Here is a 27,974-nt window from a genome sequence, read left to right as displayed (position 1 = left end):
ATCTTAGGCAAAAGGCCAAGAAGCAATTTCTTTAGGCCTTTTTTCTCTACCCCAGACACAATTTGTCTTTTTTGGGCATAATATATGCCTTGGGATTGGATGAAAGCTCTTTTATTTACTGACATTCTTTAGCCTTTCTCCTAGTCCAGGGAGAGAAGTTTGAGGAATTAGTAGGCTGTGACCCTGAGTGGGTGGGAAATACACGGTGTGAGGAGGATACGAAACAGCAGCACAAAGAGGCAAGAGTGGGAAAAGAGTCCAGAAAGTACAATCTTTTCCAGATCACATATTTCATGCCCCTATTTTTAAGAACAAATTATATGTCAATTGGCCTGCATAATATGTGAAAAGGATGGAGGCAAGCTGGCACTGATGTTTGAACTTCAGTTAACCTACAGGACCAAGGCTAATGCATGCTGTGCTGGTAGCTGAAGTCCAAGGATAATCTAAAGATGGAATGACTACCCCTAAGCCTCAAATGCACTCGCAGTTTTCCTGAGTTGACTCATAGTGGCATGGAATGAGGCTGGCAATGCCAATGGCCGTGGGCACCAGAAGATGAAACCAACTCCATACAGGCGTTATTGGCTTAGGAATGAGGCTGATGCTAGGGGTTCTTGGTACACAGAGTTGCAACAAGGGAGAATTAATGGGTGCAGCAGCTCCAGGGACAGGATCCACCCTGCTCAGTTATCAGGCTCTTGGTGGTGATATCGCAAGGGGCTCAGGGATCCTACCAGCTGGCATTGGTTCCAATAACAAGGCAGACACAGGAAAAAGACTCTTCAGGAAAAATCTGCCACCACTGCCTGAGACCTCATAAGGGGAGGGAGGGGAGGGCTGCTTTCTGACGGAGTAAAATTGGGACTGCAACTGAAAGGAAGAGTAGCTGGGCAACCCCATACAGAGTTGTGGTACCAAGGGTAGAGGTGATGTCCTTACTGGGATCAACGTCATCAGTGCTTCTGAAGAGATTCTTGAGATCCTTATAAGAAGAGGGGTCAAATCAGGGTCAATGTCAGGACAGGGCTACTTGCTCCTCTCTTCAATGTGTCCAGGGGACTGGGCAGCAGAAGGCACCCTCACTGGGTCAGCACCTAGTGGCGGAAGAAGGTGGCGCTTTATTAATCAGAAGGAATAATTACCTAGAACTTAAAGCAAACCCCTACATGTAAGGATATAAACACATAGTCCATACTATAAGGATGTAAACTTTCTACTAATGACTCATCTGACGTTAGCTTACATGCTTTTCTTATCTGATAACTGTTGCTGCCTTTCGGTTTACATACCTCATCCTTCTTCATCTCTTAAAAATCATCTTCGCTATTTTCCTCGCTTCTAAAATCACATTTGGCTCCTATGATGGAATTATATATATGTTTACATATACAAACGTTTAGTAACTTTTCGTAGTGTACTGATGAGAAAACCGTTACCTTGCAGTTACTCATTAGCATCACCAGGTGGCGCTGGTGTCAAGTTCAATCAGCTTATAAAAGTTCATTTGGGGGGGAATGATCTCAGACTTTCCTTTTCTTTTCTTCCTCTTCCTCTTCCCCTCCCCCTCCTCCTCCTTTCCTTCTTCTTCTTCTTCTTTTTTGATACAGGGTCTCACTCTGTCACCCAGGCTGGAGTGCAGTGGCATGATCACAGCTCACTGTAACCTCAACCTCCCAGACTCAAATAATCCTCCCACCTCAGCCTCCCCTGTAGCTGAGACTACAGGTGTGCACTGCCATGACCGGCTGACTTCTGTATTTTTTTTTTTTTTTTTGTAGATACTGGGTTTCATGATGTTGCTGAGGCTGGTCTCAAACTCCTGAGCTCAAGTGATCTGCCCACCTTGGCTCCCCAAAGTGCTGGGATTACAGGCACAAGCCACTGCAACTGGCCCTTTCCTTTGAGTAGATGGAAAAAATTGCATCCCGCCAGGCACAGTGGCTCATGCCTATAAACCCAACACTTTGGGAGGCCAAGGCAGGTGGATCACTTGAGGTCAGGAGTTGGAGACCAGACTGGCCAACATGGCGAAACCCTGACTCTACTAAAAATAAAAAATTAGCCAGCTAATTTTTTAGTAATCCCAGCTACTCAGGAGGCTGAGGCAGTAGAATCGCTTGAACCCGGGAGGCAGAGGTTGCAATGAGCTGAGATCGCACCACTGCACTCCATCCAGCCTGGGTGACAGACTGAGACTACATCTCAACACCACCACCACCAACAACAACAAAACAACAACAACAAAAATTGCATCCTCAAATCTGTCTTAACCTAACTGTCCTCTCTAGACATACTCTCCCACCCCATTCCTTAGCTTAACAGGAGCTGACACTACTACCTTCAAACTGTCAGTTTGTCGTGTGATGCACAGAAACATATTGATCTTTTTTTTTTCTTCACTTTGTCCCAGTGCCAGACTTGAAGACTTGAAATTGTCATATTTAGGGATTAACCTGCCATTTTCACAGGTCTTTCTCACCCTCAACCATTTCTTTCTTTCTTTTTTTTTTTTTTTTTTGAGATGGAGTCTCACTCTGTTGCCCAAGCTGGAGTGCAGTGGCATGATCTTGGCTCACGGAAACTTCCGTCTCCCGGGTTCAAGCAATTCTCCTGCCTCAGCCTCCTAAGTAGCTGGGGTTACAGGCGCCCGCCACCACACCTGGCTAATTTTTGTATTTTTAGTAGAGACAGGGTTTCACCATGTTGGTCAGGCTGGTCTCAAACTCCTGACCTCGTGATCCGCCCGCCTCGGCCTCCCAAAGTGCTGGGATTACAGGTTTGAGCCACCATGCCCAGCCTCTTTCTTTTCTTTTCTTTTTTTTTTTTTTTTTTTTTTTTTGAGATGGAGTCTTGCTCTGTCTCCCAGGCTGGAGTGCAGTGGCGCGATCTCAGCTCACTGCAACCTCTGCCTTCCGGGTTCAAGCGATTCTTCTGCCTCCTCAGCCTCCCAAGTAGCTGGGACTACAGGTGGGTGCCACCATGCCCAGCTAATTTTTGTATTTTTAGTAGAGACAGGGTTTTACCATGTTGGCCAGGCTTGTCTCCAACTCCTGACCTCAAGTGATCCACCCGCCTCACCCTCCCAAAGTGCTGGGATTACAGGCATGAGCCATTGTGCCCAACCCCAATCATTTCTTTCATTCCCAATCCAGACATTTCTTACCTCACAGTCCCTGCTTGCAGTTCTCACCTGACCTTGGAGGCTGACTCTGGACATTCTGCTGATATTTTCTCCCACTATCCTGCTCAGGTGGTGGTTTAAGTGCTCCACAGCAAAAACAGCAGCAACAACAGAAACAGCAACAAGTGAGCAGAGTACACAGGATGACAAGTGTCTAAAAGGTAGGCGAGAATGGCCTCAGTCCAGCAGTTTTCTATATGACTGCTCAAGCTTCCCTCCCTCAATCCTCCTGGCACCCAGAAAATGAGACAACAGAAGCATTTGTCATAAGGAAAGGAAGGTCACCCTTCTTTCCTTATTCTTAAAGGACCTGGAGAATTGTGTACCTTGAACCAACAACTATTCAGAATAAAATAGTATCTGACGCCTTCTTCACCAAAGTGATCATACAGATATATTCCCAATGAGCCATGCTGGTCGTAAATTTTCCGCTTCTTAGAGTCGCTCAGTATGGCATGAGCTGCGTTGATCTCTTTGAATATTTCTGCTGCTTGAGCATTCCCTGGATTCTTGTCGGGATGATACCGCAAGGCCAGTTTCCTACCCAGGTGATACTCAAAAGGAGGGTGGGGAAGCAATGCGGAATGGCTGGGGAAGGAGACTTACGATGAATGACATGGATTAGTCTCTAGAGAGTGCAGAAGGAATGCATGAGATGTGGTACAAAGGATGGAGGCAAGCATCCAAGGTCTAAACTCCTTCCCATACTATAATGAAGAGGGTGATGGTGCCATTTGGCCCCAAAGTGAGGGCTTGTTGGAACTTAAAAATGGGTCATAGGGCTGGGAGCACTGGCTCACACCTGTAATCCCAGCGCTTTGGGAGGCCAAGGTGGGCGGATCATGAGGTCAGGAGTTTGAGACCAGCTTGGCCAACATGGTGAAACCCTGTCTCTACCAAAAATACAAAAGATTAGCTGGGCATAGTGGCAGGCACCTGTAATCCCAGCTACTCGGGAGGCTGAGGCAGGAGAATCACTTCAACCCGGAAGGTGGAGGTTGCAGTGAGCCGAGACTGCACCACTGCACTACAGCTTGGGCAACAGAGCGAGACTGTCTCAAAACAAACAAACAAACAAACAAACAAACAAACGGGTCGTAGGCCAGGCACAGTGGTTCACACCTGTAATCCCAGCACTTTGGGAGGCCGAGGCAGGTAGATCACCTGAGGTCAGGAGTTTGAGACCAGCCTGGCCAACATGGCGAAACCCTGTCTCTACTAAAAATACAAAAATTAGCCAGGCGTGGTGGTGCACGCCTGTAGTCCCAGCTTCTCAGGAGGCTGAGGTGAGAGAATTGCTTGAACCTGGGAGGCAGAGGTTGCAGTAAGCCAAGATCGTGCCACTGCACTCTCAATAGTCTCTGTCTCTGCTCTGTGACAGGACGAGACTTCCTCTCAAAAAAAAAAAAAAAAAAAAAGAGTCAGATAGCAAAAGAGATACAGAAAGAAAAAGGTTTAAGGGGGAAATTCCAAGGATCAATAAAGGGCTGAGGTCTGAACCTGTAGGATTTTTTGAAGTCTTCAGGTGAGGCGCCCTTCTTAAGATCCAGCACTGCATAGAGGCTCATCTCACTTTTGGACAGCCGGTGTGCTGCTTCCTTCACAGTAGACATGATCTGAGCCAGAGGAGAAGCAGCATCTGTGAGAACTTCTACAAGTAAGGGTACCGAGAAGTGCACTTCCAGTGACAGGAAACTCACTACCTTCAGGGATTAGGCAGGTAAACGATGACAGAAGGACAAGGATAAGATAAGAGTGAGTGGGATTTGTGGCTAGCAGGAGAATTCAGGTGATCAGAAAGATTCCAATTTTAAGGAGGAAACATCTTCTCCTCACATTTCCCAGCATCCTCCAGCTACACAGACCTCTAGATATCCCACATCCTAGAGGTGTTGTAAGCAGGGAGAGGTCTAAGCCAGGAAAAGAGCCTGATTTTGTCTAGAGCTCCTATTACCTGGAGTAAACACCTCTGGGTCTGTCCAAGCTCACTGCTGGGTTTGAAAGACCAGGGCGGCCCCAGCCTGAACGGACAGGATCAGGAATCAGACAGCTCCACAACTTCTTCTTCTTTTTTTTTTTTTTGACGGAGTTTTTTGCTCTTGTTGCCCAGGCTGAAGTGTAATGGCGCGATCTCGGCTCACTGCAACCTCCACCTCCTGGGTGCAAGCGATTTTCCTGCCTCAGCCTCCCGAGTAGCTGAGATTACAGGTGCACGCCACCACGCCCGGCTAATTTTCTGTGTTTTTAGTAGAGACAGAGTTTCACCATGTTGGTCAGGCTGTTCTTGAACTCCTGACCTCAGGTGATCCACCCACCTCGGCCTCCCAAAGTCCTGAGATTACAGGCGTGAGCCATTGAGCCTCGCCGATCCACAGCTATTAAGAGAGAAACACTTCAGACCAAACCGTGTGAGGCCTAACAGAAGTCAAGTGTCCTAGAGCCTGGCGGGGGCGGGGGCGGGGGCGGGGGCGGGGGTGGGGAGTGCTTGCAGCTAGGCCTGGACTTGCTTCTTCCCTCCAGTCTCCTGCTCTCAAACCACCCCACTTCTGTCCCTCAGAGGTGGGACAGTGGGGAGAGGAGGAAGAGGACTCAGAGGCTGGAGAAGGAAGAGAAAAGGCGTTGCTGTGGGAAAGACCTGGCAAGGAAAAGGCAGCGGAACCCCAGAGAGCAGGGTAGACGCCTGCGGCCCAGGAGAACCGAGCAAGGCAAGGAGCTCAAAGGGAGAGCTCTGAGTGTGCAGGGCACCTCTGGCCCTGTGCCGACTCCTCACCTGGGTCTGGCCCTTTACCTGGGAGTCGTTCTCTTAAGCCAGGTGGGTGCCCTTCATCCTTTTGGGTGTGAAACTTCACACCGGCCGGGTCCAGCAGTTGACTGCGCTTGTGCGCAGCGTCGACGCTGAGGGTCTGGGCAGGTCGTTTTTTGGCGCCCCCGGAAGCACTGGGTGGGGAGGCCACATTGGCCCTGGGACTTATTTCGCGCGCAGGGAAGCGAGAGCGGAGGGCTTAGCAGGCCTGCGGCCCAAGGCAGCGTAGGAGCGTTGCTGCCAGGCCTTGGGGCAGGGATTCCCACCGAGCCCCTCTTCCCCAGCAGGAGGGCACCACCCATCTTGATGGCCCAACTCACTCCAGGAAACACAATGGGTTTGCTGACCGTGGCGGATGAGAGGTATGGCTGCTGCATGCCCTTCTTAAGAGGTGTGTTACCTTCCCAGTTGTCTTCAGGACTTAGGGCTCTCCGCTTGGTCCCTCCTTCTCTTCCACCCGGAAACACCTCCACAACCTGGAAGACCCAACTCATATGCCCCTGTTCCTGACACTCCATCATTCACTCTCCCAGTTGTTCCCACTTCGTCTGTCAAAGCATTTCTCCTAGTATATCGTAATGATGAGTTTGCACGTCTCATTAAAATGATGTATTGAGCCTTTTCCAAAAGTCACTACCGTGCTTCAAAAACGTCACTTAAATATGATGCCATCATGAGCATGTCCCATAATGTAACCCAACTTGGCTGTTTCAGTTGTTTCTATTTGATAATATAATAACCTTATAAGGAAAATTCAACAGAAATCCTTGAACAAATGTCTAATTTTTTTTCCTAAGGATACATTCTTAGAAGTGGAATTATTGGGTCGAAATGATTTTTTTTTTCTTTTTTCTTTTCTTTTTTTTTTACGCTCTTGATCTCTATTGCTAACTTTCTTCTGGAAAGGTAGCAGAAGGAGGATTTGTATCCCCACCTGCTGGCATGGGAGCATGCCTCTACCTGGCTTCCCTTCCTGTGAGTTTCTACAGGAGGTAGTGTTTGCATCACTTATAATTTACTACTTTGTAGTGCTGGTTTTCTTTGCAAGAGCACTCAATGGCTCCTGTAACATGTAGTAGAAAAAGCTTTGTTACTTGGAAAATGCTTATCTGTTAACCTTTTTGTAGCTTTTATCACTCTCTTCCTTTTATTACAGTTATTTGTGCACATTTTCCTCACCTTGTAGGTTTTTTTTGTTTGTTTTGTTGTGTTTTGAGGTGGAGTCTCACTCTGTCACACAGGCTGGAGTGCAGTGGCACAATGTCTGCTCACTGGAACCTCTGCCTTCCGGGTTCAAGTGATTCTCCTGCTTCAGCCTTCCAAGTAGCTGGGATTACAGGTGCCTGCCACCACGCCTGGCTAATTTTTTTTGTATTTTTAGTAGAGACGGGGTTTCACCATGTTGGCCAGGCTGGTTTCGAACTCCTGACCTCAGTGATCTACCCGCCTCAGCCTCCAAAAGTGCTGGGATTACAGGCGTGAGCCATTGCGCCAGCCCCCTTGAAGGCGTGAGCCATTGTGCCAGCCTCCTTGAAGCCATTGCGCCAACCCCCATTGCGCCAGCTCCTTCGAAGGTCACTCACCAAAAAAGAAGCTGAAGCTGATAATGTTTTTTGGTGGTTTGTCTCATGCCAAATTTCTTTAACCCCCAAGCTTTCATGACTCATGGGAGGACAGAACTAGCAGAACAAACCAGCTCATTTCTTCCCCAGCACTGGGTAGAGAGAGCAGAAGGCATTAGAGGTGCACTTGTAAATCAGTATTCCACCTCAAGAACCATCTAAGCAAACGAACTAAGGAGTCCATCTGTAGCAGACGTGATGACTGCTGAATTAATGAATTTATTTCTGTAGGCCTGTGGTCAGTGCAGGGAGAGGGGATGAAGACCTTTGCATTACCCACCTGGTCCATAGTCTCTGGGTCAGATGAGTTTAGAGGTCACTCACTTAAAAAGAAGCTGAAGCTGATAATTTTTTTATGGTGGTTTGTCTCATGCCAGATTTCTTTAACCCCCAAGCTTTCATGACTATCATGGGAGGACAGAACTAGCAGAACAAACCAGCTCATTTCTTCCCCAGCACTGGGTAGAGAGAGCAGAAGGCATTAGAGGTTCACTTATAACGAATTCCTTGCCTCAGTCTGTAAGACCCAGCGTGGTCCTGCCCCTCCCTCTCCAATCTTTTCTGGAACCACTGTCCTACTTGCTCTGGGCTCTGCTCCACCGCTTTCCTCTTTCCTGTTAGTTATTTGAAAACATCGTGTTCCCTCCCATTTCAAGAGTCTTTGACCATGTTGTTCCCTCTGCCTGGAGGGCTTGACCTCTCATCCTTCAGGGATCTCAGCTTCAGGCCTCCTCAGAGAGGCCTTCTAAACTGGGTTCTACTCCTCTCTCCTCACCTCATAACAGCCTGCAAATACACACACACACACACACACACACACACACTGTGTATATGTATCTATATCTATCCATATATATATATATATTTTTTTTTTTTTTTGAGACAAGGTCTTAGTCTGGAGTGCAGTGACACAATCACAGCTCAGCAGCCACAACTTCCTGGGCTCAAGCCATCCTCCCACCTCAGCCTCCCAAGTAGCTGGGACTAAAGGCATGCACCAGCATGCCCAGCTAATTTTCATATTTTTGGTAGAGGCAGGGTTTCATCATGTTGCCCAGGCTGGTCTTGAACTCCTGAGCTCAAGTGATCTGCCCGCCTCAGCCTCCAAAAGTGCAGGGATTACAGGCGTGAGCCACCACGCCCAGCTGGTGAACATATGTTTATTTGCATATTGATTTAAAAGCTGCTGTTGGCCAGGCGCAGTGGCTCATGCCTGTAATCTCAGCACTTTGGGAGGCCGAGGCGGGTCGATCACGAGGTCAGGAGTTCAAGACCAGTCTGGCCAACATAGTAAAACCCTGTCTCTACTAAAAATAAAAAAATTAGCTGGGTGTGGCGGAGGTTGCAGTGAGCCGAGATCGTGCCATTACACTCCAGCCTAGGCAATAGAGTGAGACTCCGTCTCAAAAAAAAAAAAAAAAATAGCTGCCTTCCCCAGGTGACAGCTCCACGAGGGCAAGGACCTTGTTTGTTTGTTGACCATTGTATCCCCAGCACCTAGAGTCATGCCTGGCTCACGTGAGTGAATGAATGATTTCTTGAATGAGCTATAGCTGAGGGCCGTCTGCTGATCCAATGTAACCTGGAGGTTGGGCTCAGAATTCCCTGGGACAGAAGCACTTAGCTAGGGAATTGGACAAGACTACAGGGCCCATCTTCCCTCATATGGTCCTAGACAAGAAGAAACCATGATACAGAAAGGTGAGAGGGGAGATAATAACGTGATCCTGAACTCCCCGTTTCTTATTTGCCTTAGTATTCCCTCCAGTTCCTAACACACTTCCTGTGTTCAGTAAATGTTGGTTGGTTGAATGAACAAGCAAAAGTGTGAGGCTTTTCCGAGACACTCCTACCTAATTATCTCTTTGGATCCTCACAACAACCCAAGAGGCGATTGCATCCCTGCTTCATAGAAGTGAGCCCTGAGAAAGAAGGCAAATTCGGTTCTGAGAAGAGTTAGTAAACACCTTTCGCATCTTGACAGAGGCTGCAGAATGTTTTCACTTCTTATCATGGCCCTCTGACATTCTAACTAATCACAGTTCATGGCTCTTGAAATAGCCGTTATCTGTAAGTCTTGCGAGGCTCTGCTCTGAATAGAATGTCACTTCAGCCAGGAAGCTGCAGAGGTGGGAGTAGCACGGCCCAGTCGGCCTGGCCTCCTTTGGCCAGTGGCTCTCCTCTTTGCCTTTACCTAGAAACCAGAGCCTCTTTGACTGAGTGTTCTATGCCTGGGCTCTTCTCACACGCAGCTCAGTCCTAGGAAGAACACACAAGCCAGGGGTCAGAAGCCCTAGATCTTAGCTCTGGCTCTGGCCCTCACAGGCTGTGTGATCTTAGACAAATCATTTCATCTCTGAGTCTATTTTTCCTCTTCTATAAAAACCTGTGCCATTTCACAGGGTTGATGTCAAGACTTAATTGGATTTGGTTTTAAAAAGAATGAAAGTAAAAAACCAAAAATAACTGCCAAAGAATGATTACAGACTAAAACCATTTCTTGGATCATTTGCCCTCCCATCATACCTTGAGTCAGTGATCTTTTTGTTTACTACCACTCAGAGCCATTTGGTCTCTCATGGAGAAAACGAAGAAGCATCCCTTGTTTACCCACAAACAACTAAAGTTTTAGTCATATAGCTGGAATACACACACATACAGACAGCAGACATTGGCATATTTATACCCAAAATACCACGCTCTGGAACATATGCAGTGGGAGAGAGAGAGATCACAATTTGTCACATTCAACCACCAGGTTCTCAAATTGTACAGTTTTTGAGCTGGAAGGGACCTCAGAGATTTAACTTGAATCCAACGCCTTCATTTTATAATTGAAGAAAGTGCAGCCCAGAAAGGCGGATTGACCTGCTTAAGGTTATCTAGTGAGATCTGACCTGAGTTTTCTGACTCCAAGTTCAGTATCTACACCGTGACTGTTCCTTCCTACTTTAAAGTCCAAATCTACAGACAGACCAAAGCTGTGGGGGATATTCACATCCTCTCATGGGTGATGTCAGGTAATGTTCCTCTTTCCCCTCCCCCAGCAGAAGGCATGTATACTACATGTGACCAAAACCACCACCACCCACCCAATTGTGTTTGCCTCTGCTTCCCAGGCCAGACATCTCAGGATGGGAGGTGGAAGACTTTCAGCTAGAAAGGAGACTGCTTCATGTCCCTGTCCTCTCTGACCTGCAACCCCAAACTTTGCAGACCCAACACTAGGCTAACAGCACCTGTCTTACCTGTAAACTGGAGATAATAGTGTCTGTCTCTTCGGGTTGTTATGAGGATTAAATTTGAATAAAGCACGAGGCACATGCTTTATTATTATTACTATTGTTTTTATACTAGCTATTTCTATCCTATCTCCTGATTTTATAAGGAGAGAGGTTGCATTTCATTTTGTCGCTGGGAAGAAAGGAAAAATCAGGGTCCTTCCCCTCCCCTAAGATTTGCAAATTGTTATTGGTGTCTTTCCATGCTTCTACATCCTTCTCCTCAGCCTCTTAGAACCCCATTTTCTTGTTCTCCTACCCAGTGCCGTCATGCTGCCCTCTGGCTATCCAAAACACCGCCCCCAGTCCTCCCAAGCAGCCAGAACTCCAAAATTACCACTCTCATTTCCTCTGTTTTAATACTTCTAATAAAAACTATTGCCTTCATAGAATGATCTCATCCCTCAGGGTAGATAGAAAGCAATCTTATTAAAACACTGTAATTTAGATTATAGTGAAAAAATAGTTAATACCTCACCCTCTTAATTGTTATTAATTGTCATTAATGCAAAAGGAATAACAGATAAAATTTCAGGCAGAATGACTAAATGGAGTGAAAAACATCAGGTTATGTTTTGGGAAGAGACTTTGGCCCTTAAATCACTTCTTTCTGTTTAACCCACCAACTATCTTCTCATTTATTGAGCTCTGCACATTTCTCTGGTTCTCTTCCTACATCTCTGATACATTTGCTGTTTCCCTTACTGGGTCCTCTTCCTTCTCTTATGTCCTGACTGGATTTTCTTTTCTTCTTCTTCTTCTTTTTTATTTTTTGTTTTTGAGACAGTCTTGCTCTGTCACCCAGGCTGGAGTAGAGTGGCATGGTCTCGGCTCACTGCAACCTCTGCCTCCCGGGTTCAAGCAATTCTTCTGCCTCAACCTCCTGAGTAGCTGGGATTACAGGTGCGCACCACCATGCCTGGCTAATTCTGACTGTGGATTTTCTCTGCAGTTTGGTCCTTAAGCTTCTGCTTGTGCTCTTTCTTCTCTTCTTTAGAGAGTCAGTCTACACCCATGGCTTCTGCTGTCACAACTGTGCTTTGGTGTCATCCACATGCCAGTGTTCCATTGCCTCAAAACCACACTCCATTGGATGCCACATGCAGGGTTTGTAAAAAAAGAAAAGAAAGGCCAGGTGTGGTGGCTCACACCTGTAAGCCCAGCACTTTGGAAGGCTGAGGCAGGCGGATCACGAGGTCAGGAGATCGAGACCATCCTGGCTAACACAGTGAAACCCCGTCTCTACTAAAAATACAAAAAAAATTAGCTGCGTGTGGTGGCACATACCTGTAGTCCCAGCTACTCGGGAGGCTAAGGCAGGAGCATCACTTGAACCCGGGAGGCTGAGGTTGCAGTGAGCCGAGATCGTGCCACTGCACTCCAGCCTCGCAACAGAGCAAGACTCTGTCTCCAAAAAAAAAAAAAAAGAAAGAAAAAGAAAAAGAAAAAAAAAACCACACTCTAAAATCTGAATTCATCATTTGCCCCCAGACTATTTTTTTTGTTTGTTTCTCCATTTCTGTTAATGTTACGACTATTTGTAAGACTGTAGACTCATTCTTTTCCCCAAATTTAGGAAAACTTGATAATTTTTTTTCAAAATCTCTCTTTCATTTGTCTCTTCTTCTCAGCTCCCACAGCCTTGATGCACCCCAGTTAAAGGATTTCCATATCACACTGGCTGGTGTCCTAGTCTCCTAACTTTTCTCCCCGTTGCTGGCCTCATCCTGGATACTGCTCCCAGATCACTGTTCTTAAAGCATGCTTCCATCTTACTACTTTGCTCACAGCATCACACAGGATGCAAAACCACCTTTGAAATCTGGCAGTGAACGCTGACCTTATGCCAATTTACCCCTTCAAACTCATTGTCTACTATTGTCCTAAAGTGAACCTTTCTTTTTTTTTTTTTTGAGACAGAGTCTCGCTCTGTCACCCAGGCTGGAGTGCAGTGGCACAAGTTCACGCCATTCTCCTGCCTCAGCCTCCGGAGGAGCTGGGACCACAGGCGCCCGCCACCACGCTTGGCTAATTTTTTGTGTTTTTAGTAGAGACGGGGTTTCACTGTGTTAGCCAGGATGGTCTCGATCTCCTGACCTTGTGATCCGCCCACCTCGGCCTCCCAAAGTGCTGGGATTATAGGCGTGAGCCACCGCCCCCGGCCTAAAGTGAACCTTTCACAGCAATCAAACAGGTCTCCGCACTAAATATTTCTGTTTTTCTTCACCTCTGTACCATTGCTGTCACACCATTTCTCCACATAAACTGTTCTTTTCCTTAATCAATTCACTTACTCAACAAATATCAACCAAGCACTGATATATGCCTAGTACCTTGGATACAATGATAAGTGGTCAAACTCTTTTTCTTCCCTCATAGATTAGAGCCTAATATGGGAGACAGAGTTCATTAAGACCTTCAACAAATATTTACTGGGTACTATTATGTACAGTACAGTACTGTACAGTACAGAACAGTATCCCTGTTCTGGGGATATAGCAGCATGTAAAACAGACAGAATTTCTGCCATCATGGAGCTTACATTCTGGCAAGAGGGGCAGACAGTAAACAAAATGAGTAAAATATGCAGTATGTTAGATGGTAATGATGGCTATGGAGAAAAATAAAACAAGGAATAGAAATAGAGAATGTCTAGGGAGAGGTTTCAGTGTTTTTTTGTTTTTTGAGTTTTTTTTTTTTTTGAGATGGAGTCTTGTTTGTTGCCCAGGCTGGAGTGCAGTGGCAAGATCTCGGCTCACTGCAACCTCCGCCTTCCAGGTTTGAGTGATTCTCCTGCCTCAGCCTCCAGAGTAGCTGGGATTACAGGCACATGTCACCACGCCTGGCTTATTTTTGTATTTTTAGTAGAGACGGGGTTTCCCCATATTGGCCAGGCTGGTCTCGAACTCCTGACCTCAGGTGATCCACCCACCTCGGCCTCCCAAAGTGCTGGGATTACAGGCGTGAGCCACCGCATCCAGTCAGGTTGCAGTTTTTAAACGGACAAGCAGAGAGGGCCTGGCCAGGTGATATTTGAGTCAAGACCTGAAGCATGTGAGGAGGTAGGTCATGAGCACATCTGGCAGAGTGCATTACAGCTGGTGAGATAAGCAAATGTGAAGGCCCTGGGGTGGGAGCATACCTGGTGTGTTGTAGGACTCACAAGAAGGCCAGGATGGCTGGGGAATGAGGTGGGAGAAGTGTGAAATGAGATCAGAGGAGCTAAATTCCGTAGGACCCCTTGCAGGCCATTAGAAGGACTCTGGCTGGTACTCTGAGTGTGATGGGGAGTGACAAATCTGATCTATGTTTACCTAACTGCTTGGTTGAGAATAGACTATAAGGCAGTAAGGATGGAAACATGGAGACCATGGAGGAGGCTATTGCAGTAATCAAGAAGACAGATGATAGTGGTTTGGACAAGGGCGGGATCAGGATTTGCTGACAGCTTGGATGTAGAGTGAAAATAGAGGAGTCGAGGATGACCCTAGGATGTCTGGCCTGAGCAGATGGGAGGATGGAGTTACCATATTCTGACATGGGAAGACTGCAGAAAGAGAAGGTTCAGGATGGCGTGACAATCAGGGGCTCAGTTTTAGACTTATGGAGCTTGATAGGCCTGCCTACCAGACAATAAGGAAGGGATGTCAAGCTGACATGTGGATATATGAGTTTGGAGTCCAAGTGAGAGATCTGAGAATCACCACCAAACACATGACATTTATTATTTATTTATTTATGAGATGGAATCTCACCTGTCATCCAGGCTGGAGTGCAGTGGCATAATCTCAGCTCACTGCAACCTCTGCCTCCCGAATTCAAGTGATTCTCCTGCCTCAGCCTCACAAGTAGGTGGGACTATAGGTGCATGCCACCACACCCAGCTAATTTTTGTATTTTTTAGTAGAGATGGGGTTTCACCATGTTGGCCAGGATGGTCTCAAACTCCTGATCTCAAGTGATCTGCCTGCCTCGGCCTCCCAAAGTGCTGGAATTATAGGTGTGAGCCACCAGCCAGGCTATTTTTAATCCTTTTTAATAGAAAAATTCAAACCCATACAAAAATAGAGAGAATGGTACAGTGACTCTCTATGTACCCAGAATCTAGCTTCAACAATCATTACTTTCTGCTGTTATTGGATAGTATTTAAAGACCAGAAACTGGATGATAGCTCCATGGGAGTGAGTGTGGAAAGAAAAGAGAAGAGAGTGACCAAGGCCTAGGCTAATTCAGCAAGAAAAGATTGAGAAGGTGGGGAGGAACCAGCAAAGGGGACTGAAAATAAACAGCCAGTGAAGTAGGAGGAAAACCAGATTATGGTAGCCTGGAAGCCAAATGATGAAACAAATAATTCCCAAGTAACAATTTAGTTACAGTATGATCAGTGCTGAAAGAAATAAACAGTGTGTTGACCCAGCATGGTGGCTCACACCTGTAGTCCCAGCACTTTGGGAGGCTGAGGCAGGAGGATCACTTGAGTCCAGGAGGTCGAGGCTGTGGTGAGCCATGTTTGTACCACTGCACTCCAGCCTGAGCAACAGAGTGAGACCCTGTTTCCAAAAAAAAAAAAAAAAGAACAAAACAGAAAAAGTATTGTGCGATGAGAGTGTATGACATGAGAATTAACTTAGTGTGGGGGCCAGAGAAGGCCTCCCCGAGGCAGTGACATTTAAGCTGTTGCCCTCCCTCATTCTCCCTGTGACCAGCTAAAATCCTACCTCCTCCATCCTGCTTCCACTCAACTAGCTCCTCCTTTCTGGGATGGCTTAATTGAGGACAGTGTGGCAGCCATTAGTGGGGTTTGGGGACACAGATGAGAAAGAAACAATTCCTGCCTTCAGGGAGCTTGCCCTGTAGCAGGGAGACAGACAAGCAAAGGACTTCATCACCATGAGGTGAGTGCTGGGATCAGATAAGCACAGTGTGAGCCTTGAGAGAAGCAGGGAGGGACACATACCCAGTCTGGGAGAAGTCAGGAAAGGCTTCCTGGAGGTGACATCTGAGTGGAGCATGGAGTAGAAGTTGGACCTCCAGGTTGCCTCCTCTGTCCATGCTCTTCAGCTTGGCTTGCACTTGTCAGGTGTTAACTCTTGTCCACATGCTTACATTTTAAAATTTGCCTGAAATCTCCAGCCCAGATTAAATCCTGACCTCAGTGCAGAGAATCGCACTTGAGGCCTGGCATTCGCGAGGACCCTTTGCAAAGATGTTCACAGGGCCATTTGATAGCTCTTTGAGGAACAGGTGGAAGCATCCTGTTTCGCCGCCAAGCTTTCCTTACATAAATTTTCAAGTGAAGGTTGGTATTCCCACCGCCGGCGCCCTCGGTTTCTGGAGGCGGCACGTTTGGCCACGCGCTGCGAGGCGCCTCTGCCTTCCCCGCCTGGTGGCTCCCGGCAGGGGCGGGCAGGGCACGTGAGGGCGTCTGCGCCCCCTCCTGGCACTCGGTGCTGCTGGCCGCGCGGGCTGCCCGGGAAGGGAAATCCCGGAGGAAGCCATTGTTGTTATGTCCCCTGTTGTCGTCATCGGCTGAGCCGTGCCAAGAATCCCTTTCCCCGCATAGGACCCCGCAGTTTCTCCCCATTCTCGAGCTCACCCGCCAGGGTCACTACGGGCCAGGCTGCCGCATCCGAGCCGCGGAGTGCGCGGTGGCCGCTGCGCATCCCAGCTCCAGGGTTCTCAGAATTGGGGAGAGCCCTAGGATGGGTGCGACGCTTAGAAAACCGACGGCGCCGGGCCCGACGTACCCAGAGCCCTGGCATAGCTAAGCAGGGACTTGGGTTCCACCTTGGCTCTGATAAGTAGCCCGAAAAGGTGAACTTGGCCGGTGGTTTCCTGCTCTCGCCGCCTCAATTTGCTTCCCTGTGACCCGAGGAGAAACAGAGGTCCGTCAAGTCCCGCGCCTTAAAGGGAGGTTAGAGGGAGAACGACCCCCTCGCTCCCTTACCCCCTCACCCCTCATGGGCTTTGGACTGGGGAGGCTGGGGGCTGGCGCGGAGGAGAGGCTGGCGCAGCCGGGGGTGGGGACGGCGCGGAGGGCGCGCGCAGCCCCTGTGGCTCTCCCGTGCCGCTCTGCAGCAGCGGCGCAGGACAGTCCCTTCGCACGCGCCGCCCGCACACCTTGGCACGGGCCAAGCCACACTCTCCCCCGCCGGAACAGCCAGCCCGCCGCCCAGCTTTCCTAATCCGTTTAAGCCTCACCTCCTCCGCGAAGCTCTCCCGGGTTAACCCCATCACTTCCAACCACTGTATCTGGCACGTGCTCCCGTTTTTGTTTTGTTTTGTTTTGTTTTTTTGCAAGTGCACTCTTGGGCTCGTTGGAATAACAATATCGAGGGTAGGTGTCTGTCCCCAGAAGCCTAAGTTCAGGACGCCCAGTGTGTTCTGAAGGATGCGGCTGATGAGTTTCTTGCCTGGGCTCACTAACCATTCCCACCCTCCACGCTTCCCCATCCCTGCTCACTCGCTCCCCTCCTCCTACGGACCCTCCTCTTCACAGACTGTCACAGCTTCGAGTGCACAATCCTCTTCCCACCCCCTCCCATTCTACAGTGGCGGCAGGTGCGAGGGGAGAGAACATTGAGCATTTGAAGCTTCGACTTGAGGCTCGGCCACCGACTTTGCTGTAAGTCGCTCCCTCCCCTGGGTTTTAGTTTCCCCCAAATGAGGCAGAATGCGGTAATGTCCAGGAGGGCGCTGCAGGTGTGGAGGATGGGAATCACTAGCTGACACGCTGCCCCGCTGCCCCTCAGCCCCTCTCCATAAACAGTGGCCGTGACACCAGATAGGCGGCTCGACTTCACTGGACCCCCGCCCGTAAGAGAACTGTGAGCGCTCTCCAGTTGCCAGTGCGGCGTCCAGAGCCGGGGAGGGAAAGAGGATGGGGGTCCAGGCCGGGCCCTTTATTCACAGCCTGCATGACCTTGGACTCTTCTTCCTCTGGGTCTCAGTTTACTCATTTGAAAAGCAGGGATAACAGTGGGTTGAAGGAGAGCAGGAAGCTTGTCACCCAATGTTTCTGTATAAAAATAAATGATCATTCGCGGTACAGTGATTGGCAGCAGACTGGGCTCGTGAATTCCGACCCCAGATTCTCCGTAAAGGGGTTTCTGGAGTCCCTGGAATCTCCCTGTGTCACCGCTCACCTCATGTTCTTTCTGGTTCTCTGGAGATAGGTAATGGGTCCGCTCCTGTTTCTGCCTCCGCGTGAGGGTTGCGGCCACAGGGTGACGGCGTGGTGGGCGACACCCCCGCGCAGGCATGCACAGAGTGGTGGTCGTTGGGCGAAGGTTGGTCGTGAGGTTCTTGGGCTTCAGGAGCGAGGCTTGGAACCGGTGGGCGGGACTGTGTGCAGAGGTGGGGCTAGCTCGCCTGGGGGACGGGGCTGTGGAGATGAGGAGTTCTCCAGAACTCGGGTGGCGGGGCGCTCCCGGGCTCTGGCGCGGGGAAATGGGGCTTTGGCAGTGGGGGCGGGGCTTAAGGGTGGGGAGAGGCCGGGGAGCCTGGAGGCGGAGCTTGGGGAGCTCGCCCCACGCGGGGCGGGGCTCCGGCGGCAGCGGGATCTGCAGTTCGGACTCCGCGCGCCACAGTCGCTGCAGTTCGCTCCACTCTGGTGGCCCCGCCGCCCTGCGGGGATCCCGGGGGTCGGCGGGCTGCTCGGACTTGGCGCGGGGCCGGCCCGGCCTCTCTCTTCCTCGGTGGGGCCTAGACGGTCGGGGCACCGGGAACATGGAGCCCTCTCCAGCCGCTGGGGGCTTGGAGACCACTCGCCTGGTGAGCCCCCGGGACCGCGGTGGCGCCGGAGGCAGCCTGCGTTTGAAGAGGTAGGACAGACCTGGGCTGGCCCTCGGCCCGGGGGCGCCACCCTACTACCCTCCGTCCATTTCGTTGTCTCTCTCGGCGCGGGCCCCGGCGGCCGCCCCAGCGCACCGCGGGTCCCTCGCTCCGCTGCACCCCGCTTCATCCCCTCTGGCCACACGGAGCGCCCAGCCCTACACAGCCGGCTACGCCTCCTCCCGGCCGCCTGACTTCCTCGGGTGAAGCGGCCTCTCACTCCCCTCCGGCCGGCGTCCCAGGCCGCCGGACCCCTCCGCCACCCCCGCGGCGCCTGCCTTCCCTGGGAGCAGCTGCCGCTCGGTCGGGCCGGAGCCCTCGCCCGGTGCGCCAAGGTCCGCATTGCCCCGGGCCCAGGGCGGGAGCGCCTCGCTGCCCAGGCTTCAGAGCTCCCTCTGTAGGCCCCGGGGGCTCCCCTCCGCGCGCCCCCTCCAGCCGCGGCCAGCTGTGGGCGCCGGGGCCCGAGGATGGGCCGGGCTCCGCGCGGGTCTTGCGGGCCCCTGGGGGGCGGGCGGCCGCCGGGAAGCGAGGGGGCGGCGAGGAAGGAGCAGGTGCGGTCTGGGCAGCGGGGGTATTCCCGGCTCCGCACAGACGGGGCCGGGGGCGGCGAGGTGTGAAATGAGGCGCGCGGAGCGGCCGGGACAGCGGGCCGGGGGTGGCAGGAGAACCGCCAACGCGCCCCGCCGGCCCCCGCGCCTGCCGCCACCGTCCACCTGCCCCTCTGAGCGGCCGTCCGACCTCCCTGCCCACCCCCGTGGGCCATCTTGTCTGTCGGCTGACCGTCCGTTTGTCTCCGGAATTTGGCAGGGTCTCCGGCTTTTTCTCTTCCCCCACCTCTCTCAATCTTTCTGTTTCTCTCCTAGTCCCTTTCCCTTTGTCTCTGACGTGGTGCTTCTGTGTGCTTCTCGCTCTTTCTTTGGGTGGGGGCCTTCAAGCTGGGTTGGGGGAGGGGGTGAGCAGAAGAGAGCTGGACCCCTTCCTGCAGGGGCCTGCAGAGACGCGGTGGGGGCTCTGCCGTAGGCCTGGCATCTCTTCAGGTGTCCTTTTGATTTTGGTTCAGCCCCTGCTACGTCACCCCTCTTCCCCGCTCAATATCGGTTGTTGGTTGGGGGTTTCGGAGGGCCAGGGAGAGGAAACAGCCTTTCCTTGTCTCTAAACAGCATGTAGCCACCCCACATGCCCACACCCCCACACACCAACAGCCAGGCTTCCTTAGTGCCCAAATTATGCAGAACAAAAGGGAGCAGCCTGTTGATGGGTGGCCACCTTGATGACTGGCTGTGCTGTGCCTTACAAGGCCAGGGAATGAATGTTGCCCACTGCCCCCAAAGCCACCCAGCCTCTGCGCTTCAGACTCACATCTCCAACTCCAGTCCATCTTCACTCATATGACCATTAGTCACCGAATCCTGCAGCATTTTCTGAAAGGCATTTCCTAACCTACCTGCCCCTCCAGGGAAGCTCTGGCCTGGTTTGTTCTAGACCCCTCCATTTCCTCTCTTCTCCTCTCTTCCTCCCATCAGCAAGGTCATCTCAGTGCTCAGGAGATATTTGTTCAAGCAGTCAGTGTATCTCCCTTTATGTTCCTTTGAGCCCATCACTTTCCTCCTCAGCCCTCCCCTGACACTTCACGCTTAGACTCCAAGCCACAAACCTCGTCTTTGTCATTCTACATGTCTGGAACACCCTTCTCCAACTAGGTCTCATCTCCTTAAACATACCTTTCTCTGTGAAGTTCTCCGAGCCCGCTGTGAGGGAGTGCTCCCTTCCCTGCACCCCAAAGTGCTTTGTTCATAACCCTCCTAGCATCAACCTGTCCTTATGTAGTAAGCCATTTGTTACAATCTGTCTTTCCCACCAGACCAGGCTTCATTATGTGTGCTCTGCCTGGTGCACCTCATTGAATGAATGAGGATCGGTTTCACAGCCTCCTTCACCACGCCATCTCCTCTGGAAACACATCCAGAATCATACACGCCCAGATTCTAAGTCTTGGATGGGGCTTTGGAAATTCAAGAAATTAATCTACCAGTATTTCAGTTCTCTGTACAAGCACCAAATGTTCCCCCTACCTCCCTCAAAACTCAGTTCACCCACTTGGCAGAATTGTCTTTAGCCAGAAGGCCCCAGACATCCCGCCCCACTTTGCTGCTATGATCACATTTCTATCTGGAGCCATCGTTTTTACTTGTGGGTATTCTTGTCACACCTCCATGAGTATTTCTAGTACTGTATTTTCTATTCAGGTCCTGAATTCTGTGGAAAATTCTGTCCTTGCTGGGTTCAGGTTGGGTAGTGGTGGGGCTGAGAATTGGACCAGAATGGACTTAGCACTCAGCCTGACCTCACTCAGCCTCTGGCATCCCCAGGTGAGGTCCCAAGCCCCATTCATTTGTCAAGGGAGACTTATGGTACCATGCAGTTAAGGTGGGCTCTGCTGGGTGCTTATAGTCGGACTGAAGTCCAATTAACATGCTCCTCCCACTGCCATCCTCAGCCATAGCAGGCTGCACCCCTTCCTCCCATGACAACCCCAGCTCTGGAATCTAGCCATCAGTTCTCTGTGCCCGGAATCAGACTTTTTGGCCCCAATGTCCCGCTCGTCTCTTAAAGGGCCACACTTCAGCTTCATGTCTAGGGAGGGCGGGGGCAGGATCCAGGAGTGGAGGTTCTGGGAGGTGGGCCTGGAAAGGAGGCACACCAAGGCCAGGAACACATGCTGAGTCCCACTCCACACTTCACTCCACCTTCCCTTCATACTGCCTTGGCGTGCCTGGCATAGCATTCACCTGTCTTTATCAAAATCCTTCCCATCCTTCAAGGCCCTTCTCATGTTACCTCTTACAGCTGTTTCCCTGATTTCCTCGTTATAATTAGTCTGGCCCTCCATCCTCAGAACCCTGATAGCACTCTAACTGCCCTAATGACAGTGGCCACCTTCGCTCTATATCATTGTGTAGGTACATGCTTGCCCTGTTCACCAAAAGCTCTCAGAGATCAGTAGGAATCCTGCTCATTTTGGGGTGCCTAGCATAAGAAATTGGTTGGGGTCTAGTCTCAGCTCTAGCAACTAACTGGGTTGGCCTCCATGTGTCCCCCAACTCTGTGAGCCTCATGCCTCTAATTTATTTAATAAAATGTTAGATGAGAGCCGGGTGCGGTGGCTCACACCTATAATCCCAGCAACTCAGTAGGCTGAGGTAGGAGGATCGCTTGAGGCCAGGAACTCAAGTGTGCAGTGAGCTCTGATCACACCACTGCACTCCAGCCTGGGCAACAGAGCAAGACCCCATCTCTTTTTTTTTTTTTTGAGACAGTCTCTCACTCTGTTGCCAGGCTGGAGTGCAGTGGCACGATCTCGGCTCACTGCAACCTCCAACTCCCTGGTTCAAGTGATTATCCTGCCTCAGCCTCCCAAGTAGCTGGGATTACAGGCACGTGCCACCACACCCAGCTAATTTTTGCATTTTTAGTAGAGATGGGGTTTCACCATGTTGGCCAGGATGGTCTCGATCTCCTGACCTTGTGATCTGCCTGCCTTGGCCTCCCAAAGTGCTGGGATTACAGGTGTGAGCCACCACTCCCGGCCAACCCCATCTCTTAAAAAAGTTAGACTAGACCGTCTGTAAGGTGCTTTCCAGCTGTGAAATTCTATGGCTCTGTGTATGGAAGGAAAAGGGAGGCTGGGCTCTGACCTGTTCATTTAGCCCCGGTCTCTCATGTGGCCCTCTGCCGATGCAGCTCCCAGATACGACCAGGCCTGGGGAAGGAGATGGTCTGATGAGGCCAGCACTGGGGACTAAGGACGTGGAGTGAGCAGGCCAGCCTGTGGGCCAGGCCCAGGTTGAACCATGTTGCTTGCCTCAGTCTCTTCACAGAGCCCTCAGAGCCCCTCCCTGAGGAGTCCAAACCTGTGGAGATGCCCTTCCACCACTGCCACAGGGACCCCCTTCCGCCGCCGGGCCTTACCCCTGAGAGGCTGCATGCACGGAGGCAGCTATATGCTGCCTGTGCCGTTTGCTTTGTCTTCATGGCTGGGGAGGTGGTCGGTAAGTTGGGGAGCAGCCCTTAAACCCCATTCTCCAAATACCTGCCCAAGCCACTCTCCACCCAGAGTCCCAGGAATGTTCCTGGGTGCAGATGCAGAGATGGGGATGGCTGGGATAGGGGAGCTGGGTGCCCAGGACTCAGGAAGTAGGAGGGATAAGGGACAGCAACAAAGGGAATTCCAGCCGAGGTCCGGGGCCAGTAGGTCAGGGCTGACTTCTTTTAAAAACCCTATTTTCTTGTTATTAAAATAAATCATTGTAGAAAATAAAATACAGATGAATGAAAAAAATAACATAACAGTAGTTAATTATACCTGTAGTCCCATCACCTGAGAAAACCCCAAATCACATTTTTGGTGTATATCCCCCAATTTATTTTCCATGCCTATACACACTACATGATATTTTCTAAATGGAAGCAGACTCCATCATTTCACCCTGGCAGGCGGGTATCTGGCACACAGCCTGGCCATCATGACCGATGCAGCCCACTTGCTGGCGGATGTGGGCAGCATGATGGGCAGCCTCTTCTCCCTCTGGCTCTCCACCCGTCCAGCCACCCGCACCATGACCTTTGGCTGGCACCGTTCAGGTAAGGCCCCTGCATGGCCCAGTGACTCTCCAATCTTGCCAGAGGGCACCCGTCAGGGTCCCAAGCAGGTCTCTGACAGCTTGTCTCCCCCCCCACCCGCAGAGACTCTGGGGGCTTTGGCCTCTGTGGTCTCCCTCTGGATGGTCACTGGCATCCTCCTGTACCTGGCCTTCGTCCGCCTGCTGCACAGCGACTACCACATCGAGGGGGGTGCCATGCTGCTGACCGCCAGCATCGCAGTCTGTGCCAACCTGTTGTACGTCCCAGTATGGAGCAGGCACCTTGTGGGGCCCAGGGCGAGGGGTCTTCCTCCAGGATGGGAGAGCTGGCTCTCTCCTCCCCACCAGACACACAGACACGCACACACAGCTCTCCATGGGCTGCCCTGCGTGTGCCTGAGAAGGGTCTGGGATAGAGACCTAAAATTCAGTCAGCAGATCTCTGTCAAGGGCCTGCCATGGGCCAGCCACTCTGATGAGGGCTTTCATCAACATGATTGCATTTAAACCTCACAGCCACCCCATGAGGTAGGTAGCATTACCCCTAGTTTACCATTAATGCAGTCAATCCCAACAGGTGACTTGCCCAAGTCACATATCTATTTAAGTAACAGGGCCAGCTTCCGAATCCACATGTGTGGCACCAAGTCTGGTATTCTTTCCCCCAGGCTGCATTGTTTATCTCTCTTGCAAAATGCTGTTTTCTTCCAGGGGCTGGGAAAGGGCTACTGGGGAGGTGAGACATGGAGATGGGGGTATAGGAGGCCAGGAGCAGGGCCCTAGGCTGAGGTGCTCTGCTTACCCCTCAGAATGGCCTTTGTGCTGCACCAGGCTGGGCCCCCCCACAGCCACGGGTCTAGGGGAGCAGAGTATGCACCGCTGGAGGAGGGGCCTGAAGAGCCCCTGCCCCTGGGGAACACCAGCGTCCGGGCGGCATTTGTGCACGTGCTGGGGGACCTCCTGCAGAGCTTTGGGGTACTGGCTGCCTCCATCCTCATCTACTTCAAGGTACCATCATTGGAGACCTGCCCCAGCCTTCCTCCCCACAACCACATCCCAGCCCACTCCTTCCCAGGTCCCAAAGCTTCCTTCCTCCTCCCTCCAGCTCCTCCCTCCCACCTCCCAGGACTCTCCCAGACATGAGTCATGTTCCCTGTCCCCTCTTCAGGGTTTTGAGGGGCCTCTCAGGTCATGTTTGTTCAAGATACCCCTAGATCTTCCTCTGAAAGGTCCCTGGTTGTTGGGCTTAGGGGTCTCTTTCTCTGCAGCCTCAATACAAGGCAGCCGACCCCATCAGCACCTTCCTCTTCTCCATCTGTGCCCTTGGATCCACCGCTCCCACCCTCCGAGACGTTCTTCGAATCCTCATGGAAGGTGAGTCGGGCACCACAGCTCCCCATCCCTGTGGCCCTCTCTGACTTTACTCTCGCAGTGGGCCATCACTTTTTTCTTTGAAGATAGTACGGGAAGAAGGCTTGGCTCATGGGGTCTGCTGCTGGAACAAGGATTTGGGCATAGGGTGAATTGTAGGGGTCAAAAGGAGAGTGCATACAGGATAGGGGAGGTGGAATCCAGTGGTGGGGGTGCTGCTTCTGGGCAGGAGTAGCCCTAGCAGTAAGGCATGACTGGTGCTGGTTGCAGGTACCCCCCGCAATGTGGGGTTCGAACCTGTGCGGGATACGCTGTTGTCGGTGCCAGGAGTCCGGGCAACCCATGAGCTGCACCTGTGGGCCCTTACGCTCACTTACCATGTTGCCTCTGCACACCTGGCCATCGGTGAGTCACACTGGCCCCAGCTAGTTACTACCTGGAACATACCCCACCCCAAACATGGGACCATAGCTTGAGTTACTGGAATTGTTTCAGTCTTTTTTGATCTGTCTCTGTTTCTCTGTGTCTCTCTCTCTCACATAGACACATACACACACACACACATGCACGTGCGCTCGTGCATGTTGGAGACAAGGAGTCTCCATCCACTGGATGCAGTGTTCTGGGGGCAGTTTCACCCTCTTTGAAGTAGCACAGGGAACCAACAACCCTTTAAAAGATCATTAGTACCTACAGGTCTAGTGATGGGGCACAGTTAGGTAAATTACAGCACCTCCACCCTGAGGTATCACATAACTGTTAAAAATGATGCTTGTGAAGACTGTACAGCAACTATGAAAAATGTTTATGGTATAATGCTGAGAAAAAAGCTGAATATAAAATTGCATCTACATTATGATTCAACTATTAAAAATATATATGGTGAGTCATGAGCTGACAAAGGATTTTTGAGTTTCTTCCAGATGCAAGAAGCAATCAGAGTCATGCAATTTGTATGCCAAAAATATTATAATTTGTGGGATATTTGATGGAAACTCTAGAGGGACAATGAGACAGATATTTAACAACTGGATTGTCCTGGGAAATCGGGTGGTATGGCTGCTGAAATGTTGAGCTGTATGTTGACACTTAATGACAGGAGAGAATAGGAGACTGGAAAGAGTTTAGTGTGTTAGCATGGTTGATTGGGGTGAGTCTCTCCAACATTTGATTTGACACTTTTATGCTGTTCATACAATACAGAAAGAAAAGCAGGCTTCCATTCACGCCTGGCTTTAATGCTGTGCAGCCCCTTTCCCTGTCCTTATCTCAGTCCCTGCCTGTTCTTTCTCCCCCGGGATGGATGCCGCCTCTTATCACTCTCCCACAGACTCCACCGCTGACCCTGAAGCCGTCCTGGCTGAAGCCTCATCCCGGCTCTACTCCCGGTTTGGATTCTCCAGCTGCACCCTGCAGGTCGAGCAGTATCAGCCGGAGATGGCCCAGTGCCTGCGCTGCCAGGAACCCCCCCAAGCCTGAGCCATGGCCCTGCCCTCACCCCACTGCCAGGCCGAGGCTCAGCCCCAGACTCTCAGCATCTGCTGCCCTGATCACAGAGACGGGACCGAGCCAGGTCCATACCCCTTCCTCTCTCCCTCCTACCACCTGCCAGTTTCCCCAGCCTCAGCCCCAGCCCCAGCCCCAGTGGGCAAGACCAAAGTGTGGCGGGGAGTGGGGTGGGAGTCAGGGGAATAGATGTGACTAGTTCAGGGGCGGGGACTCCCAGGCCTCAGTGTGGCAGGGTGTGTTGAAGGCCTGTGGTGCCATCTCCCCATGGTTCATGTGGAGCCACGAACATCCTTTCCCTGCAGTCCATTTGTCTGTGTGGCAGGCTGGCTGGCTGGGGGCATCTGCCTGTCTATGTGCTGTTGGTGTGCCTATGCCTGGGGGAGGTCAGTAGGGGCCCCCTCCCCACATGGCCCTCGCTCTGTCTATGCAGGGGCCCCAAAGCCCGCACTTTGTCCGTGTGTCTTAGCCCTGTGGTTTTGTCTGTGTGTGTGTGTGTGTGTGTGTGTGTGTGTGTGTGTGTGTTCTTGGTGCTGTGGCCTGTGTGTCTCTGTGCCTATGTGGCTGTGCTATGGTTTCTATGAGTCTGCTCCATCCATGTGTCTGTTTGGGGGTCTATCTCTCCATCCCTCTGTTGGTGCTGTGCCCTTGGCTATCCCTGAAAGAGGGAGGACTCCGCTGCAGCTCCACCAATAAACTTGTGTCTCACTGCATCTTTCAGCCTGTGTGCTGACTCCTCAGGAGGGGGAAGTCAAATAGGTCACTTGAGAACAACAGAATCCCTCCTGTCCCTTCCCAGCCTCTGGAGTGACCTCCCACAGACCTCCTGTCCCTTCCCAGCCCCTCCACCCTCAGATGGAGGGTAAAAGCCACCAGTCTCTTTACTCCCCTTCCCCTGGCTCACAGCATGCCTGGGTCCTTGGCTCAGGGACAGTCCCATGTGCCCTGGGCTTGGTTGCAGGAGAATGCTGGAAGGTAAGGAGCCAAGGAATCCCTGGGAGTCAGTCGTTCTCAGAGGTCCCTGCATGCCAGTGGGCCTCAGGCTGGCTGGAGGGAGGCTGGGTCCCTTTGAGGGAGAATGGCTAGACCATAGCACTGATGTGGGCTTGGTTCTCAGGCCATCTAAGGTGTCCAGCGGTAGGGACCCCTCAACCCTGATAGCAGCCAACCCTGAGTCCAGGTTTAGGCTGTGAACACCAAGGACCTCTTTTACACCTATTCCCCCTTTGTCTTAAGAACTGCATATTTTGACACATTAAGTCTTAAAATCAGGCTCATTAAGGGATTGTTGATTTTCTCTTTAAAAAAAATCAAACTCAAGCTGGACATAGTGGCCTGTGCCTGTAATCTCAGCCCTTTGGAGGCTGAGGCAGGAGGATTGTTTGAGCCCAGGAGTTCAAGACCAGCCTGGGCAACCTAGGGAAACCCCTGTCTCTACAAATAATTTAAAAATTAGCTGGGTGTGGTGGTGCATACCTGTAGTCCCAGCTATTCAGGAGGCTGAGGCAGGAGGATTGCCTGAGCCCAGGAGGTCAAGGCAGCAGTCAGCCATGATCATGCCACTGCACTTCAGCCTGGGCAACAGAGCAAGACCTTGTCTCAAAAAAAAAAAAAAATCAAACTCACTGGGTTTGGTGGCTCATGTCTGTCATCCCAGCACTTTGAGAGGCTGAGGCAGGAGGATCGCTTGAGGCCAGGAGTTCAAGACCAGCCTGGTCAACATAGTGACACCC

The 27,974-nt window shown here is 51.2% G+C and overlaps 2 protein-coding genes across 21 annotated transcripts, besides 5 other annotated features; one reads left to right on the top strand and one right to left on the bottom strand.

Moving 5' to 3' along the window:
* Positions 1-26: 26 nt before the first annotated feature.
* DNAJC5G (DnaJ heat shock protein family (Hsp40) member C5 gamma) lies at positions 27-6,093 on the bottom strand. Of its 8 annotated transcripts, none has more exons than NM_001303127.2 (7): positions 5,955-6,093; positions 5,139-5,340; positions 4,685-4,800; positions 3,511-3,772; positions 3,194-3,338; positions 1,293-1,360; positions 27-1,097 (listed from the first exon to the last, which is right to left on the bottom strand). In NM_001303127.2, exons 3-6 carry the CDS (start codon positions 4,795-4,797, stop codon positions 1,311-1,313), a joined length of 570 nt encoding a protein of 189 aa, NP_001290056.1. In that variant the 5' UTR covers positions 4,798-4,800; positions 5,139-5,340; positions 5,955-6,093; the 3' UTR covers positions 27-1,097; positions 1,293-1,310. The 8 variants fall into 8 exon arrangements, 7 of the variants coding, with proteins under 7 accessions (NP_001290056.1, NP_775921.1, XP_016859361.1 ...); NM_173650.3 differs by having other exon boundaries at positions 5,139-5,420; positions 5,973-6,093; XM_017003872.3 differs by having other exon boundaries at positions 4,685-4,835; positions 5,973-6,093.
* Positions 5,709-27,842, top strand: SLC30A3 (solute carrier family 30 member 3). 13 transcript variants are annotated; one of them, XM_047445786.1, is made up of 10 exons: positions 5,709-5,996; positions 6,275-6,349; positions 17,444-17,516; positions 22,592-22,773; positions 23,219-23,365; positions 23,468-23,621; positions 24,174-24,372; positions 24,633-24,738; positions 25,006-25,140; positions 26,066-27,842. In XM_047445786.1, the coding sequence occupies exons 2-10, from the start codon at positions 6,343-6,345 to the stop codon at positions 26,212-26,214; spliced, it is 1,152 nt and encodes a 383-aa protein (XP_047301742.1). In that variant the 5' UTR covers positions 5,709-5,996; positions 6,275-6,342; the 3' UTR covers positions 26,215-27,842. The 13 variants fall into 13 exon arrangements, with proteins under 13 accessions (XP_047301742.1, NP_001305879.1, XP_047301741.1 ...); NM_001318950.2 differs by lacking the exon at positions 17,444-17,516; XM_047445785.1 differs by lacking the exon at positions 23,468-23,621.
* Positions 16,241-16,350: a silencer, noted in NCBI's record as "silent region_11296". NCBI's record gives its function as "represses an Ori minimal core promoter by ATAC-STARR-seq in GM12878 lymphoblastoid cells {active_cell/tissue: GM12878}" and the evidence as "EXISTENCE:reporter gene assay evidence [ECO:0000049][PMID:35858748]".
* Positions 16,881-16,970: a silencer, noted in NCBI's record as "silent region_11295". NCBI's record gives its function as "represses an Ori minimal core promoter by ATAC-STARR-seq in GM12878 lymphoblastoid cells {active_cell/tissue: GM12878}" and the evidence as "EXISTENCE:reporter gene assay evidence [ECO:0000049][PMID:35858748]".
* Positions 18,445-18,514: a silencer, noted in NCBI's record as "silent region_11294". NCBI's record gives its function as "represses an Ori minimal core promoter by ATAC-STARR-seq in GM12878 lymphoblastoid cells {active_cell/tissue: GM12878}" and the evidence as "EXISTENCE:reporter gene assay evidence [ECO:0000049][PMID:35858748]".
* Positions 18,535-18,714: a silencer, noted in NCBI's record as "silent region_11293". NCBI's record gives its function as "represses an Ori minimal core promoter by ATAC-STARR-seq in GM12878 lymphoblastoid cells {active_cell/tissue: GM12878}" and the evidence as "EXISTENCE:reporter gene assay evidence [ECO:0000049][PMID:35858748]".
* Positions 18,765-18,924: a silencer, noted in NCBI's record as "silent region_11292". NCBI's record gives its function as "represses an Ori minimal core promoter by ATAC-STARR-seq in GM12878 lymphoblastoid cells {active_cell/tissue: GM12878}" and the evidence as "EXISTENCE:reporter gene assay evidence [ECO:0000049][PMID:35858748]".
* Positions 27,843-27,974: the final 132 nt, after the last annotated feature.

This window comes from Homo sapiens, chromosome 2 (genome assembly GCF_000001405.40).
Source record: "Homo sapiens chromosome 2, GRCh38.p14 Primary Assembly".
NCBI lineage: Eukaryota > Metazoa > Chordata > Mammalia > Primates > Hominidae > Homo > Homo sapiens.
Note: the sequence above shows the minus strand (reverse complement) of the source record. Positions and strands in the feature narration are given on the sequence as shown.

What these genes read in the sequence shown, in the direction of transcription:
- SLC30A3 (XM_005264547.3), top strand. Translation starts at nt 18,620, where the DNA reads ATGGAGCCCTCTCCAGCCGCTGGGGGCTTGGAGACCACTCGCCTGGTG. An exon ending in CTTTGGCTGGCACCGTTCAG is followed by an intron (nt 23,366 to 24,173) that starts GTAAGGCCCCTG and finishes CTTACCCCTCAG; the next exon opens with AATGGCCTTTGTGCTGCACC. An exon ending in CTCTGCACACCTGGCCATCG is followed by an intron (nt 25,141 to 26,065) that starts GTGAGTCACACT and finishes ACTCTCCCACAG; the next exon opens with ACTCCACCGCTGACCCTGAA.
- DNAJC5G (NM_001303127.2), bottom strand. Translation starts at nt 4,797, where the DNA reads ATGTCTACTGTGAAGGAAGCAGCACACCGGCTGTCCAAAAGTGAGATG. An exon ending in TGAATAGTTGTTGGTTCAAG is followed by an intron (nt 3,339 to 3,510) that starts GTACACAATTCT and finishes CCTACCTTTTAG; the next exon opens with ACACTTGTCATCCTGTGTAC. An exon ending in GAGTCAGCCTCCAAGGTCAG is followed by an intron (nt 1,361 to 3,193) that starts GTGAGAACTGCA and finishes ATTCCATCATAG; the next exon opens with GAGCCAAATGTGATTTTAGA.